Source organism: Homo sapiens, chromosome 12, assembly GCF_000001405.40.
Source record: "Homo sapiens chromosome 12, GRCh38.p14 Primary Assembly".
NCBI classification, from domain to species: Eukaryota; Metazoa; Chordata; class Mammalia; order Primates; family Hominidae; genus Homo; species Homo sapiens.
The window spans coordinates 22,702,966-22,718,483 of NC_000012.12; the positions used below are offsets into that span (position 1 = coordinate 22,702,966).

The following is a 15,518-nucleotide window of genomic DNA, read 5'->3' on the forward strand; positions in this document are numbered from 1 at the left end:
AATGATGAACTAGGATGGTGTGCTAGTGGATTGAAATCCATTGGTGTAGTGTGATTATTCAGGAATTTGAAATGAATAAGGGGAATGATAAATATAAAGATAATTGAATTGTTGTTATAAGTTGCATTGATAATCTGTAGATAAAGAAAAGCTGAGGTCAATTAGCAAACAATTGAAAACTAAATAACAGAGCTGGTCTCTTTGGTAACTTACAATGAATTTATTGACTTGATGGTACTCTGTTGGGATATGCAATGTAACATTCTGATAAGGGCTTCAGGGGATGATGCAAACTTGCTACAAGGGCAAAAAATGATGGCCCACATGAATGAGGCCGAAATTCCCGAATTGCTATGACATACATTAGTAAAAGATATTACAGTAAAGGATTGAGAACAGTGGACAGGCTGAACATATAATATTGTATATATAAGGCCAGAAGACACATCAGAAGGTTATGTTTTATAGGGAGGCACAGAGGACACATCATTCACCATGGCCATCAGGAATAAGCTGATGAAAGAGCCACCAGCCAAGAGGTTCAGTGACAGTTCTCTGTAAGCCAGTGCTGTAGGTAGGAGAGGCTATCACAGAACGTTTCTCATGGGTAGCATTGGAAATGATAGTGCTCTGAAGCATAGAGGCCAGATGGTGGTGCTTAACTGCCAGAAATGAGGGGTCATGATTATCAACACAATCAACAAGCTTGAAGTAACAGCCTAGGGAGTTTGACCAGTTGAGAATTATGGAGACTATTATCATCATTAGATGTGAGCACATAGAGCCCCCGCAGTGGTCCCCATGCTTTGCTGTACCATCTAGGTAATTTTAAAAGTCTCTTTATGGTACTGTGACCAGCTGAGATTGGAACTGCCATCCAGGTGGGATGCCCCAAGACTAGACCAAGGCCCTCGTGAGTTTCGGTTCTCATTTCTCCGTTTTGACCCACTAAACTGCATGGGGAGTCAACCATATGCCAAGGCTTTGTTAACATCATCATGATGTGCCATAATATAGTCCAGATAGATCTAAACCATCTGGATACCCAAGAAATCATCATGCCAATCCATTACATCAGTGACATCCTGCTGATCCGGCAGGATGAACAAGAGGTAGCTAACATGCTAAAGGCCTTGGCAAAACACATGTGTGATAATCCTTAAGCAGATTTAGGGACCTGTGACTTAAAATAATTAGGGGTTCAGTGGTAAAGATCATGCTGGGACACCCCCCTCCAAAGTAAAAGACAAAATGTTTTATTGTGCATCTTTGCCTACAAAGAAGAAATCATAGTGTGTAGGAAATCTCTTTGAATTGCAGAGGCAACATATCCTACACCTAGGAATACTGTTTCACCCCATATTGTTGATGATATGGAAGACTGTCAGATTTGAGTGGGGCTTAGAGCTGATAAGAACTTTTCAACAAGTCAAGCCTGTGGTGAAAGTAGCCTGGACACTTAAACGATATGGTTGGTAGACCCTATGATGTTGGCGATGTCAATGGTGGAAAAAGATGTAATACGGAATTTCTCCCAGTGGAGGAATGTCAAATCAGGCCCCTTAGGTTTTGGAGTAGTGTTGCCATCTGCAGCATAGAATTAATTGCCTTCTGAAAAATAGCTGTTGGTATGCTACTGGACCCCAAATAATCAAGAGATGGAGCACTTGATTATGGGCCCCCAGTTATTATGCATTTTGAACTGGCCATCATGATCTGGATTCTGCTGGTCCTACCAGATTAAAAACTCAGATGGGCCCAGTGGCAATTCATTTTAAATTTAAAATAGGAAACCGGGGACTAGACATGAACAGGATAGAAGATAAAAGCAGGTTGAATGGGTGGTTAACCCATCCCTCTATGCTGTTCATCGTATTGGCACCATCACCCCTCCCCAATTTTATATATGGGAGGTCTTACGTGACCAGCTGAAGGTAAAGGAGAAAGCCTGGGCGTGCTTTATAAACAGGTGGCTTCATACGAGTGTAAGCTGGATGTGGATAGCAGCTGAATTACTGCTCCACTCAGGATGGTCTTGAAAGACAGTAGTGAAGGAAAATATTCCTAGTGGACAGAGTTTTGGGTGGTTTATTAGGTTATCCAGTTTGTGTGGAAGGAGGTTATGCTATACAAGGACTCATGGGCAATGATGAGCTGGTCAGAGATGGAAGGAAAGAAGATGTGAAGATTAGTGACAAGATCTGGGAGAGAGACATAGAGTTAGACATATGGGAGTAGGCACGAAGTTTAAGGATCTTTCTGTCATACACTAACATGCCCCAAACATGGAATCCACCATGGACGAGCCACTAAACAACTAAGTAGACAAAATGGCTTGGCCATTTCATATTAGCCAGCTTTCATCAGTGGCCACCCTAGGGCTAACATGATGAGCACATGAATGAAGTGGTCACGTTAGCAGGGATGGAGGCTCTTTGTAGGCTCTATTTGAGTTCCTACCTACCAAGCCTCATCTGCTGCCTCTGAAGCTCTGACCAGCTAACAATAGAAAGCAAACTGAGCCCCTCCTAAGACACAATTCCTCTTCATAGGTGTTACTCCCTGATGAACTTTTGTACTCTCTACTCCTTTTCAGTCTCTGCTTCCCAGAGAACATCACCTGGGACAACACATATTTCCCAAGAAGACATTATCTGCTGCGTTTTTCCCAAAAACATGTGATACTTCTAAAACCACTGTCTGACCCTTGTACCCCTCTTTGCCTAGCATTTGATCTTGCCTCTAATTTCACAAACAATTAAAATGTCCCACTGCATTCCATCCTCAAAACTAAAAATATTATGGATCCTCCTCATTTACTTTTCTTCAGCCTCAGAAGTAAAAATGCTCTTTATCCCATTCAATACTAGTGACTTCCTTTGTGTCCTCTCTTGTTCAATTATTTTCCTCTTAATAATGTTCCCCATAAGACGGGAAATGCAAATGTCTCTTCTTAAAACAAACGTGATAACAATAAATATTTTCCATTACCTGCACCCTTTTCAACATCATAGCTGAAGTTCATGAAAACTCAGTGTACTCTTGGTGTCTCCATTTGTTTATCTTCAGCTTTCATCTATTAAGGTTTTAGTGATTTTTTTTGGTCTGAACAAAATAATTCTCCACACAACTATTTTATATTTATTTATATTTATTCTAATGAGACCAGAGGTTCTTTGTGTTAAATATTTGATTTGTAAATCAATCAGTGGAAAATTTTTGATGAAATCTAAACGCAAACTTCTAAGCACTTGGAAAGAATTAATCTGTCCTCTAGTTAGGGGAGGGAAGTCCAAGGCTGGAGATGTAGATCCAGATAGAGGGGTGGGCGTATGGCATAGGTATTCTTCTTGTGCTACTTCCACAGATATCCTTCTTTTCTCCATGAAGAAGGGAAGTCTTTAGTATTCTCCAAGTCCCTGTAGTAAGAGTGGAGGTCTAATGGTGGGGTGGGGTGGGGTGGGGCAACAAAAGGAAGAAGGGTTATGTGAATAGTCTGACCCATAATATTGACAGATATCACCTCTTTCCCCTACCTCCCTCCTCTCCAAATAATTTCCATTCACTGACATTGACCTCAAGTACATATTGATTTGAGGACTTGACACTAAGGCACACGTAACCAATTGGCTTAACCTTCTGTAAAACTCCATAGGTCTTTCTGTTATTAAGATTCAGATGCTTTTTTAAATTCAGGTGAGCTTCCTATAGTCTCCTTGCTTGATGGCCTTAGGAACTTAGCAGCCTCCTTTCTTTTCTTCTTCTTCTTCTCTTAAAAATGTAACCTTTATTACCTCCCTCTCCCCCTTATTATCACAAAAGTGATACTTGTTCACTGGAGAAAAATCAGAAACTACAGAGAAACCAAAAATTAAATTATTTATAACCCTATTTTCATTTTGGTCTAAGTATTTTCCAGCCTTTCATTATGCTGGCTATCTGTTTGTCTGTGAATGTCATGTACGTACATAAGTTTATTGCATTAGGCCATGACAGAAATGAACCCACATGCACATACAGATGCACACTAAAAAACTGACCACAGTTGTTTTGTAACAACATTTGTTTTGCTTTTCAGAAAAATGTTCATTTCATTTTTAATAGCTGCCTGGGTTTTATTATATGTTATACCATGATTAACTTTGGTAAGTGACTATTCTGGACATTTTAGGTTTTTAGTTTTCTTTTTTTTCCCGTCATATTAACACTGCTGTGAAAAACAGTATTATATTCAAATCTTTGTGCTCAATGTCAATTTCACTTCCTACAAGTGTAATTATGGGTCAAATGATATGCATGTTTCTGATATATTTTGTTGTACTTACTTCTGAAAGACTTAAATTTTTACTCTTACCTGAACTTTGAGAACCCTTGCTAACAGTAGCTAATCATCATTAAGAAATACCTGCCCAGTGTGCTAAGCCACAAACCGTATCTCCTTCTTTTTTTCCTTTTTTTTTTTTTTTTTTTTTTTTGAGACAGAGTCTTGCTCTTTCACCCAGGCTGGAGTGCAGTGGCACAATCTCGGCTCACTGTAACCTCTGCCTTCCAGGCCCAAGCAATTCTCATGCCTCAGCCTACCTAGTAGCTGGGATTATAGGTGTGCACCACCACACCCAGCTAATTTTTTGTATTTTTAGTAGAGATGGGGTTTTACCATGTTAGCCAGGCTGGTCTCAAACTCCTGGTCTTATGTTGATCTGCCTGCCTAGGCCTCTCAAAGTGTTGGGATTACAGGTGTGAGCCACCGCGCCCGGTCAGGTATCACCTTTTCTTCATTAAAGCTCTGGGCACCTGTATCTTGTGGAGATCAAATTCCTACAAACAGCTGCAGAGTAGAAGGCAGCCAATTTTCCTTATATACCCATGCCTTACTGGGCACTGTGCTTGGTTCTGGGACTTCTGAAATAAATACGGCACAGTTCAGTCTCTACCCTGCATTGGAGTTTTGGGGAGCTGGGGGTAGGGGGTTATAGAGAGACCAGTAAATGCATCATTACAATACAGGGAGTTAAGTGTAATAGTGTGGGAATGCTGTGGGAATACTCAGTCGGGGAGTGAGCCGAGTCATGAGTGTTAAGTCTGAATTAAGACTAATCAAGATTGGGAGTTAACCTGGCATAAAAGTGGGTTTTCAGACAGGGATACAGCTTGTACCAATGCAAGGAATTATGGAGTATGCAGTGGCCTAGTTGGGAACAGCAAGGCCGGGTTTGACTGCAGCAGCCTGTGTAAGTTGGGGGAACAGCAGTGAATGATCCTAGAAAGCAGCAGGAGTTGTATTATTAAGAAGTTGGCTGTTAGCATTTAGTATTCTTGTGGTTGTTAAGAAGTGCTGGAAGATATTAAGCGGAAAGTCACATGATCCCATGTGCATTTTGGAGAAGTCACTGGTGCAGTGTGGAGGGTCAGTTGGAGGGGCTCTGGACTGGAAATAGGGGGGCTAGCTAGGAGTCTAGTGCATCAATCCATGCCAGAGATGAGGACTGCAGGGGCTCACACAGGAGGAGAGGACAGGAGGGTGAATTTAAAAGATAATATGGGAGAATGGTAACAGCATTTGGGCTACTTGGACTGTTGCGTATAAGAGAGATAGAATGTCCTGGCTTGGGTCATGTGGCTGAATAGCGGGGCCGTTACAGCCATAGATTCCTTTTGGTTCGACAGTCCAATCCTTTCCTGTCTTACAGTGCCACATTATATGAATATATTATGCTGCTTTGTCACATGCTGTAAGAAAAGTAACTGCTATGGAGTTGAGAAGGTACAAGAAAGGTGAGTAGAATGCTCAAAAATATAAGAGTCAGAAATTATTATAAGATCAGTCAGGCAGGAGATATAATGGTAAAGGGTGACAGGGCAAGACCTCATCTTGAGAAAAAATACTATAAAACCAAAGGCAAGAAATTATTAAGAATTTTTAGTAGAGACAGGGTTTCACCATGTTGACCAGGATGGTCTTGATCTCTTGACTTCATGATCCGCCCGCCTCCGCCTCCCAAAGTGCTGGGATTAGAGACGTGAGCCACCGCGTGGTGGTGGGCACCTGTAGTCCTAGCTGCTTGGGAGGCTGAGGCAGGAAAATCGCTTGAACCTGGGAGGCGAAGGTTGCAGTGAGTGGAGATCACGCCACTGCACTCCAGCCTGCTGACAGAGCAAGACTCCATCTCAAAAAAAAAAAAAAAAAAAAAGAAGAAGAAATCATTAAGTATTGGCACAAGGTGAATAAGAATTTGTTAATAAAGTCTTGAAATACCAAATTGGAAGCTAACCCTGAATATATAAAGGGAGAAATTTGGGACAATGAAGCATAGAAATATTGAGACCTTGTAACAAGTGGGGATAGAGTCTGAAAATATTAGAAGAGTCAAAAAAGTTTATATCACAAATGAGAAATCTCCAATCTGAAGCTTAGATATGGCCTTTAACTAAATTACACCTGGCTCAAGCATAGGGACGATACCCCCACAAATGCCTACAGGTGTGAAAAAACATCATCCTTTGAGTATTTAGGGGCAATATCCTAAAAGACCACAAGGTGGTAATGTAATTTCACGTCTGTTTTTGAGTCTTTAAATTCGTGTTGCTTTCACTCTGATAGTGCCCTCTTTTTCTGTTCGTGTTTATGGCTTTCTCTCTCTGTATTTTGTCTTTTACATTTTTCTGCTGTTTTCTAATTTATGTATCCCTCTTTTGAAATTTTTTCTCTCCGTCACTTCTTATGTTATCTCCTTAACTGGCCATCACTAGAACTAGTGGAATTTTTCCATTATTCACTGAGTAGAATTTAGTTTTGTCACTACATTCAACAGAATTTATTATAGAAAAATTAAAACCTACATGAAAGTGCACAGAATAGTATAGTAAATCTTATGAACCTATCATAGGAGCCAATCACAGCCTTCACCATAGGTCAGTCATCCAGATTCAAGGTCATAAGTTCATGGCCCCTCTTATTTCACCTGTATTCCACTCACTTTCCTGCTTCCTATTTTATTTGAAAGCAAGTTCTAGTTCAGTAACAAGTCCATCTATAAATATATCTGTATATGTCTATCATTCGTGAGGACTCTTGAACCTAATCATGATGCCAGTATTGCTCCTAAAACTAGTAACAATTTCTTAGTATCACAAAATCCAGTTAAAGTTCCAATTTCCAACTGCCCCTTAATGTCAATTAAAAATAATTTTATAATGTGTCTATCAGAATCAGCATTCAAATAAAGTTCAATTTGTGGTTGGTTGGTTTTTCTCTTAATATTTTTTATTCTACAGGTTTCCACTTTCTGTCTCTTTTTTTCAACTTGCAATTTATTTGTTAAGGGAACAGTTATTTTTCTGTAGTTTCCTTCTGTCTGGATTTTTCTGATTGCTGTCAACTTTTAAAATGGGTAGTGAAGCATTTTGTAATTTTCCAAAAAAACTTAAGATGAAGCTAACAACTTGCTTTCTTTGTTCCTGTTGCTGGGCTTCTGAACGTTGCAGAAAAAAAAAAAACTATATACCTGTACAATTTGTGGCACTAGTATTTAGCCTCAGGTGAACTATCAATATGGGTTAGATCATCATTTTTCTTGCCTCTAATAAATTTTATATTTTTCTGTTTCAAACATTTACCATGCTTTTTAAACTCTGAGGTGCATTTTATTTTTCTATCTCCTCCTGCACCACACTCCATCTTTTCTCATTATCTCAGATTGACTTCTTCACTGGTCCTGGCATTCTGGTCTCACTATTTTAAACGAATTCCTTGTCTAAATCCCGGCAAGGGCCACTGCATGATGTTGGGCAGGCTACACTCTGCACAAAGGAACTCAGCTCAAGAGGAAGGGGTGCTCCACCTGTCAGCCTCTGTGCCTTTGTGCCTCTGCCAGGAAGGGGTGTTTTTCTCTAATTTGCACAAATGGGTTAGTGAGCTGGTGGTAGCCCTATTCCTGCCTTCTCTGTAACTTTCAGCAATTCACATTGAGTCCTCCCCTCCATGCCCCACAATGTCCTCTATAAAGATTGTAATGATCATCTGGTTTCTAAATACAGATGGTCTATTTTCTATCTTCTTTCTCTTTTACCTATGTATAGTCAATAGCACATCTGATTGTCCCCAAATGCATTGGGTTCTGCTTTTCAGGATGCTTTCCTCTGGTGTTTTCAGGAACACCCTTCTCTCCCAGTTCTTTTATCTTTCTCATTATTTCTTCCTTGTTTCTTTTTCTGGCTTCTCCTATCTCATAAATGTTCTGTTTGCTCATAGTTTTTCTGCTCCTCTCCCCTGTTCTCCTCATAGGCTCTGTTTTTTTTTTTCTGCTTCCATAGCTTCAGCACCATCTCTAATTCTATACTGATGATCCCAAAATCTCTGAAACCAGTCTCCACCTTTCTCTTGTGCTCCAGTCCCAAACTTCCAACAGCTTTCCACATATGTCAATCTGGAATCCTGTAGATACTTCAAAACCTTTCTGTCTTGTATTCTTGATCTCTGTCATGATCCATCCAGTTTCCCAGGCTAGAAATTTTATAGCAATCTGTCAGTCACTCCACTCTCTCGTGTATTAAATCCAACCAACCCCTAAACTCCTTTTAGTTTACTTCATTTATGGAGGTTCTGTAAGGCAATGTCCTCAGCGCTAAGAATTCAGCAAAAATCCCTACTCTCATGGAACATATAATTTTGTGGGAGACAGAAAATAAACAAATCAATAAATAAGTACATGGTATAAACTATGGTGATAAGTCCATTGGAGACACTTTGACATGTACCTTGTCTGGTGTTTCCTTTCCACCTGCTTTCACTGTTGTCCTGGACTCCAAACAGGTGTCTCTGCTTCTGGCCTTTCTCTCTACCACACTTCCACGTGGTTAGTATTCCTTTAAAAACCCCCCAAAGTCAGGCTTCATAATGCAATGCTTTTGCTCAGAAACACTGTGTGTCCTTACCTGAAAAATAATATTTAGACTCTTAAGCATTGCCACTAGGGCCTAACCTAACCTTTTCCTGTCACTCTCCTCCTCTTCCTTCCTTTCCTCTTCCTGCCTCTATTGCCGCTATTACAGTCAGGTCAAGCTTCTTGCCTTTCCTAGCACGTGCCCTTTTCTAACAGTGTGCTTTAGGATGGCGCCTGTTCTGCTTTGAATACTCTCTTATCATGTTCACGGCTTGAAGGTCACTCCTCTGGGGAATATTTCTTCAGTCTTCTAGGCTAGTTCATATCTGCATCCTCCATGCTGGACTATAACTCTGTTCTTAGCTCTGTAATAAGTTTTAACCTGTTTTTATTGGAATATAAGCCCCAGGTGGTGGTGGAGCAGAAATATTATCTTATGCATCCATGTGACTCGTCATCCACGTGACTCCAGGGCCTACTGTGGGCTTCACCGTTGGTGAAAGAGAAGGCAGTCATCAGTGAGGACAGCCCAGGCTTTGGGGCCAGGCAGCCCAGGGTCTGACCCGCTCTTGGCACTCGCTAGCTTTGGGCAGGTTACTTACGCTGTAGTGCCTCAGTCTCCTCATGTTTAAATGGATGTTGGTAATTGAATATATCTCAGAGAATTGTTGTAAAGACTGGTAGAAATAATGTATATAAATTGCTTCACACGGTGCATGGTAGCCATAAATGCTCAGTAATCCTGGCTTTATCAGATGCTTATAAAATGAATGGAATTAGTATGACCTGTATTCTTAGGATCTCCTGTTAAATGATTGTCCTGTAAGCTAGTAGTCCCCAAGGGAAAAAGAAAAGATTGCTCACCACTGGTTTAGAAAATTCAGAGGGAGTAATTCCATGAAGTACAGTTAAGGGAATCTGGGAATACTTTGATATTGTATTAAATAAAATGGCCCATGCCATTTTATTTTTATTTTATTTTACTTTTTATTTTTTGAGACGGAGTTTCCCTCTTGTCACCCAGGCTGGAATGCAATGGCACGATCTCAGCTGACTGCAACCTCCACCTTCTGGGTTCAAGCGATTCTCCTGCCTCAGCCTCCCAAGTAGCTGGGATTACAGACATGCACCACCATGCCCAGCTAATTTTTGTATTTTTAGTAGAGACCACCATGATAGCCAGGTTGGTCTTGAACTCCTGACCTCAGGTGATCTGCCCGCCTCAGCCTCCCAAAATTCTGGGATTACAGGCGTGAGTCATCATGCCTGGGCCTCATGCCATTTTATACCTCCATCTGGGTCTAACCTGTACCCTTTTTTTTTTTTTTTTTTGAGACGGAGTCTCGCTCTGTCGCCCAGGCTGGAGTGCAGTGGCGGGGATCTCGGCTCACTGCAAGCTCCGCCTCCCGGGTTCACGCCATTCTCCTGCCTCAGCCTCCCAAGTAGCTGGGACTACAGGCGCCCGCCACTACGCCCGGCTAATTTTTTGTATTTTTAGTAGAGACGGGGTTTCACCGTTTTAGCCGGGATGGTCTCGATCTCCTGACCTCGTGATCCGCCCGCCTCGGCCTCCCAAAGTGCTGGGATTACAGGCGTGAGCCACCGCGCCCGGCCTAACCTGTACCCTTTAGTGGGAGTCAAAGTCTCAGTGTCACTTTCTTTAGGGCATCATCATGGCTGTTATGAACTGGGACAAAGAGTTTGTTTTAGAGGAATAATGGAGGTAGAGGCTCTGAGGGGACCATTAACTAGCGCAGCTGCCATTTCAGATGCAAGAAGGAGCAGGTTCACAGCATGTGCCACTCAGGGAGGGAAGAGAAAATGTCAAGGATTGTACTGGGAAGGTGTTGGAACATTTTGCGTGAATGTGGATATTTGGATGAAATGCTTCTAAGGCCTGAAGATGACACGACAGGCTGTAAATAGACAAGGGAGAAAGACAACAGAGAGGGGTGCGCTTCTTTGTGATGAGCACATGGGTTGTATATGGCTCAAATGGTGCAAGGATCCCTGGTATAAAAAATGTTAGCGAAAGCTCTGTTTTCAAAACAGCATCACAGAATAGCTACAACTCTGGATTTGTGGTTTAATGCTGCCACTGCTCCTGATGCATCTAGAATGACTAAAAATGGCTGAGTTAATGAATTCTGTTTTACAACATTAAGGAGGTTTGACACACTTGTTAAAACCTCTGGTTCTAGTGCAAAACAGAATTCCTATGGATGTTCTAAATACTAATCGGAAATGCTTCATTAGTATGAAGAGTATCAGGGTGTGTGTTTTCTTAGGTTGATTAGTAGCTGACTTATGCCATCATGTGGGGGGAATGTCTGTCAGCATCTCCCCCAGACCTTAGATACCTACTATTAATCACTTGTGTTGATGTCACCCACTGGTGCGCAGCCTGGAAGACTCTGCAAAAGGTTAATCTTTCGTAGTTTCTTGGGATTTGGAGGGCAACATTCTGAAAACCTAGTTTTAATTTTGATAAATGAATTTAGCAAGTAGTTAATCCCTGAAAAGATTCAAGATTTACAAGTCAGTCAAGAGATGAAGTTAGCAATTTATTATACATGCGGGGCTCTCCAATCACAAGATAACCCCTAAGCCCTTTGACAAATCAAATGAGAAAGAATCGAACGCCGCGTATAGAGATAAATTCATTACTAGGATTTGCCCCTCCTCTCTGCAGAGCTATAGTCTGTCTTCCCTTCATCAGGAGACCTTTTTCTGCAAACCCTGCTGCGTACGGTTCACTCCCTCATTTTGACCTCTTCTGGCTCTTAGTTTACTACTTAAAATAATGCAGATGATCCATGTGAAAAGTTTTGCTGAGTCTCACTCTCTGGAATGTTGGTTCTTCCCCTAAACAATTTTATCCTGTGGACCCAATGTCTTTGTAACTGACCAAGTCTCTTGTACCCCTTTGACTTCAAAAAAATTTAAGAATATTTTATCCTAAGTGGAAACCATAAGTGAAGATACAGTATACATTTTGGTGTGCTAACCTTCTCCCCTAAATTTTATTCCCTTCTGCATATTGACCTTTGCCCTCTCTCAACTATTTTTTCAAAAGCCATGCATGTACTTTTGTGGCATGTTAGGAGAAGACAGACATATGATTGTTTTTCTGGTTATAAGCTTTGTCTCTGGGTGTAGAATAGATGCCCAGCAATTGTTTTTCAAATTAAAGAATTTCTAAGGGCATGGCATAGTATCTGGAGGGCAACTTCCAGAGTTATTTTTGTCGCATGCTCCCCTTCCATCCCACAAATACATGTTCAAGTGGAACCTCCCTCTTTCTCCTTCTTACTGCCCCCTAGGAGCCATCTTTCTAAAGTGCAGATCTGACCATTTGATTCTGACATTTTTGTTCTTAAAAACCTTCGAGCCCTTCATTGGTTTCTAACTGTTGCTGGGATGAAGGTCACATTCCATATGTGGTTTGTAAAGTCCTCTGTGATTCTGCCTTTATTTCTCTAGCTTTCTCCTACTCATGGCCACCTGTCACTTTATGCTGCAGGCATTTTAAGTAAGTTGTGGTTTCTGGCTTAATTAAGGTATCTAGTCAGTGGAATGTGTGTTAATCAAAAGGGATATCCTAGGAGGGCCTGACCTAATCAGGTGAGCTCTTAAATGAAGTTAGAGATTTGAAGCATGAGAAAGATTCTCCTGCTGTCTTTGAGGAAGTAAGCTGCACCTTGTAGGAGGGTTAGGACCTGAGGGCAGTCTCTAGGAGCTGAGAGTTACTCCTAGCCAACACCAAACAAGTATATTGGACCCTTAGTCCTATCGATGAAAGGAACTAAACTCTGACAACAATCTGAATAAGTTGGGAAGGGAACTCTGGGTCACAGATGAGATCAGAGCACTGGCTGACAGCTTACTTTCAGCTTGGTGAGACCCTGAACAGAGGGCCCAGTTAATCTGTACTGGCCTCCTGACTCACGGACCTTGTGAAATACAAATTTTGTTTTGTATTGTTAAGGGTTTTTGTTGTTACTGTGTTTTTAGGGATGGGGTCTTTCTATGTTGCCCAGGCTGGCCTCAAACTCCTGGGCTGTAACGATCCTCCCACATCAGCCTTCTGAGTAGCTGGGACTAAAGATGTGCACCACTGCACCCAGATAAGTTTTTTTGTAATTTGTTATGCAGTATTAGAAAACTAGTACAGAAGGACAGAGAGAAAGGATAGAAGGAGGAGAGAAGGAAAATGAAAAGGAAGGAGCAGAGGGATGAAGGAAAAAAGAAAGGAAGGAAGGAAAGACGAAAGGAGGGCAGGGAGAAAAAAAGGACATTTGGTTAGGATTTTGTCTCCTTGTCTTTCCGAGGACAGAAAGGCATACCTAGCCATAATTCATACTTTTTTTTTGGTAGAGTAATAAATAAGTCTTCATGAAGTCCTGTGTGGTTTGTAAGCTTCTAGATTATAATTTATTGGAGATTTGCAAATTTACCACAGTATATCATAAGCACGTGCCACTTTTGTTTTAGCTTGATTCTTTTAAGGTTGAGGACCACTAAAAATGTTAATTTTCCTAACGGAGTTTGTGTATTTCTTTCCTCCTGGATAGGCTTTTTAGATTTTTCATCCTTTCATCCTTCTGCACTTGCCCATTTTTTGCTGGAGGGTTGTTTGTCTTTTTCTCAAGGATTTATAAGAGTACTTTATAAAATATGGATATTAATCTGTTTTCAGTTATATGAGTTGAAAATAATTCTTTCCAGATTGCAGGATAACCTTTTACTCTCTTGATGCCATCTTTTGTTGAATAGCAGTTTTAAATTTTAATGTAATAAAATTGATCAGTCTTTTCCTTTATGAGTTATACCTTTTTGCTATTAAAAACTATTTTATAAAGATATTTAAAAGACATTCCCTTACCGTTTTCTTTAGTTTTAAAGTTTTGTCTTCAATGTTTTCTTTTCCATATGGATAACCAATTTTCCTCACACCATTTACTGAATAGTCTATCCTTTTTCCAGTGATCTCTAATGTAGGATCTGATATAAATTAGGTTTTTATAGACGCCTGGTCTGTATCATATTCTGTTGATTCAGTTGTCTGTTCTCACACCAATACCACACTGTCTTAATAACTTTCACTCAAAGTTTTCCCATGTGGTAAAGCACTTTGTTCTTCCTTTTTAGGAGCATCTGGGCTTTTCTTAGCTATTGGCTTTTCCAAATGATTTTCACCCCACCGAAACATTTTGCTATTAAAAGTCCAAAAGTAGAGTTAAAAGGATTTTACAGTAAACAAACACTCATGAACCCACCACCTAGATTCTATAATTCACATTTTATTATTTTTCCTTGTCACATAAATATCCATCTTTCTATCTGTCCATTAATTCTACATGAGATTTTTTAAATTAGCTTTTAATGTCCCTTAAAAACCTTATTGGACTGTGACTGAAATTAAATTGAATGTATAGAATAATTAGGGGTAATTGACATTGTTATAATACATACCTATTCATATAATTCATGAACATGGTATGTCTCTAATTTATGTAAGTTATCTTTCATACCTTCCAGTAAGGTATTGTGTTTTTCTTCATAGAAATCTTGGGAAGCTTTTGTTAAGTTTATTCACACAACTTTCTTTTATTGTTGGATTTTAAGTGGTATTTTAAAAAGTTATTTATATATTATATTTTTGAGATGGATTCATAGTCTATTATCCAGGCTGGAGTACAGTGGTGTGATCTCAGCTCCCTGCAACCTCCACCTCCCAGGCTCAAGCAATTATCACGCCTCAGCCTCCTGAGTAGCTGGGACTACAGGAGTATGCCAGCGCACCTGTCTAATTTTTATATTTTTAGTAGAGACAGTGTTTCACCATGTTGGCCAGGCTGTTCTTGAACTCCTGGCCTCAACTGATCTGCCTGCCTTGGCCTCCTAGAGTGCTGGGATTACACACATAAGTCACCACACCTGGCCCTAAAAGTTATACATTCTAAAGGTCTATTTCTGGTATATAAAACTATAATTGTACTTCTTACCTGGGTAATAAAATAATCTGTACACCAAATCCCCATGACACAAGTTTACCTATATAAGAAACCTGTTAATGTAGCCCTTAACCTAAAGTAAAAGTTTTTTAAAAACTTAATAAAAAAATAAAATGCAGTTGCCTTTTTAATATTGATCTTCACACCAATAATCTTATACCAGGCCATTTAAAATTTTTTATGGTTCCAACATTATATATTCTTTCTAGTTTTCTATATATACAGCCATATAGTCTGTAAATAATAGTTGTTGTTGGTTTTTCTTTTCCAGTTATCACACTTGTTTTTTTTTTTTTTTTTTTTGAGACAGAGTTTTGCTCTGTTTCCCAGGCTGGAGTGCAATGGCATGATCTTGGCTCACTGCATCCTCCGCCTCCCAATTTCAAGCGATTTACCTGCCTCAGCCTCCTGAGTAGCTGGAATTACAGGCATGTGCCACCATGCCTGGCTAATTTTGTATTTTTAGTAGAGACGGGGTTTCACCATGTTGGTCAGGCTGGTCTCGAACTCCTGACCTCAGAAAATGCGCTCGCCTTGGCCTCCCAAAGTGCTGGGATTACAGGTGTGAGCCACTGCGCCCGGCCCTGTTATCACACTTTTGACTTCTTTTTTCTTTGTT

The 15,518-nt window shown here is 40.4% G+C and overlaps 1 long non-coding RNA gene across 16 annotated transcripts in view; it reads left to right on the forward strand.

Moving 5' to 3' along the window:
• Positions 1-15,518, forward strand: part of LINC02955 (long intergenic non-protein coding RNA 2955) — a 491,729-nt gene that overhangs the window by 3,107 nt on the left and 473,104 nt on the right. For 2 of the 16 annotated variants that reach the window (NR_187497.1, NR_187499.1), the window contains exon 2: positions 5,691-5,775. The exons of the other annotated variants lie outside the window; for them this stretch is intronic. This is a non-coding gene — a long non-coding RNA (long intergenic non-protein coding RNA 2955). The remainder of the gene's footprint in view (positions 1-5,690; positions 5,776-15,518) is intronic. 16 annotated transcript variants of the gene reach the window in all.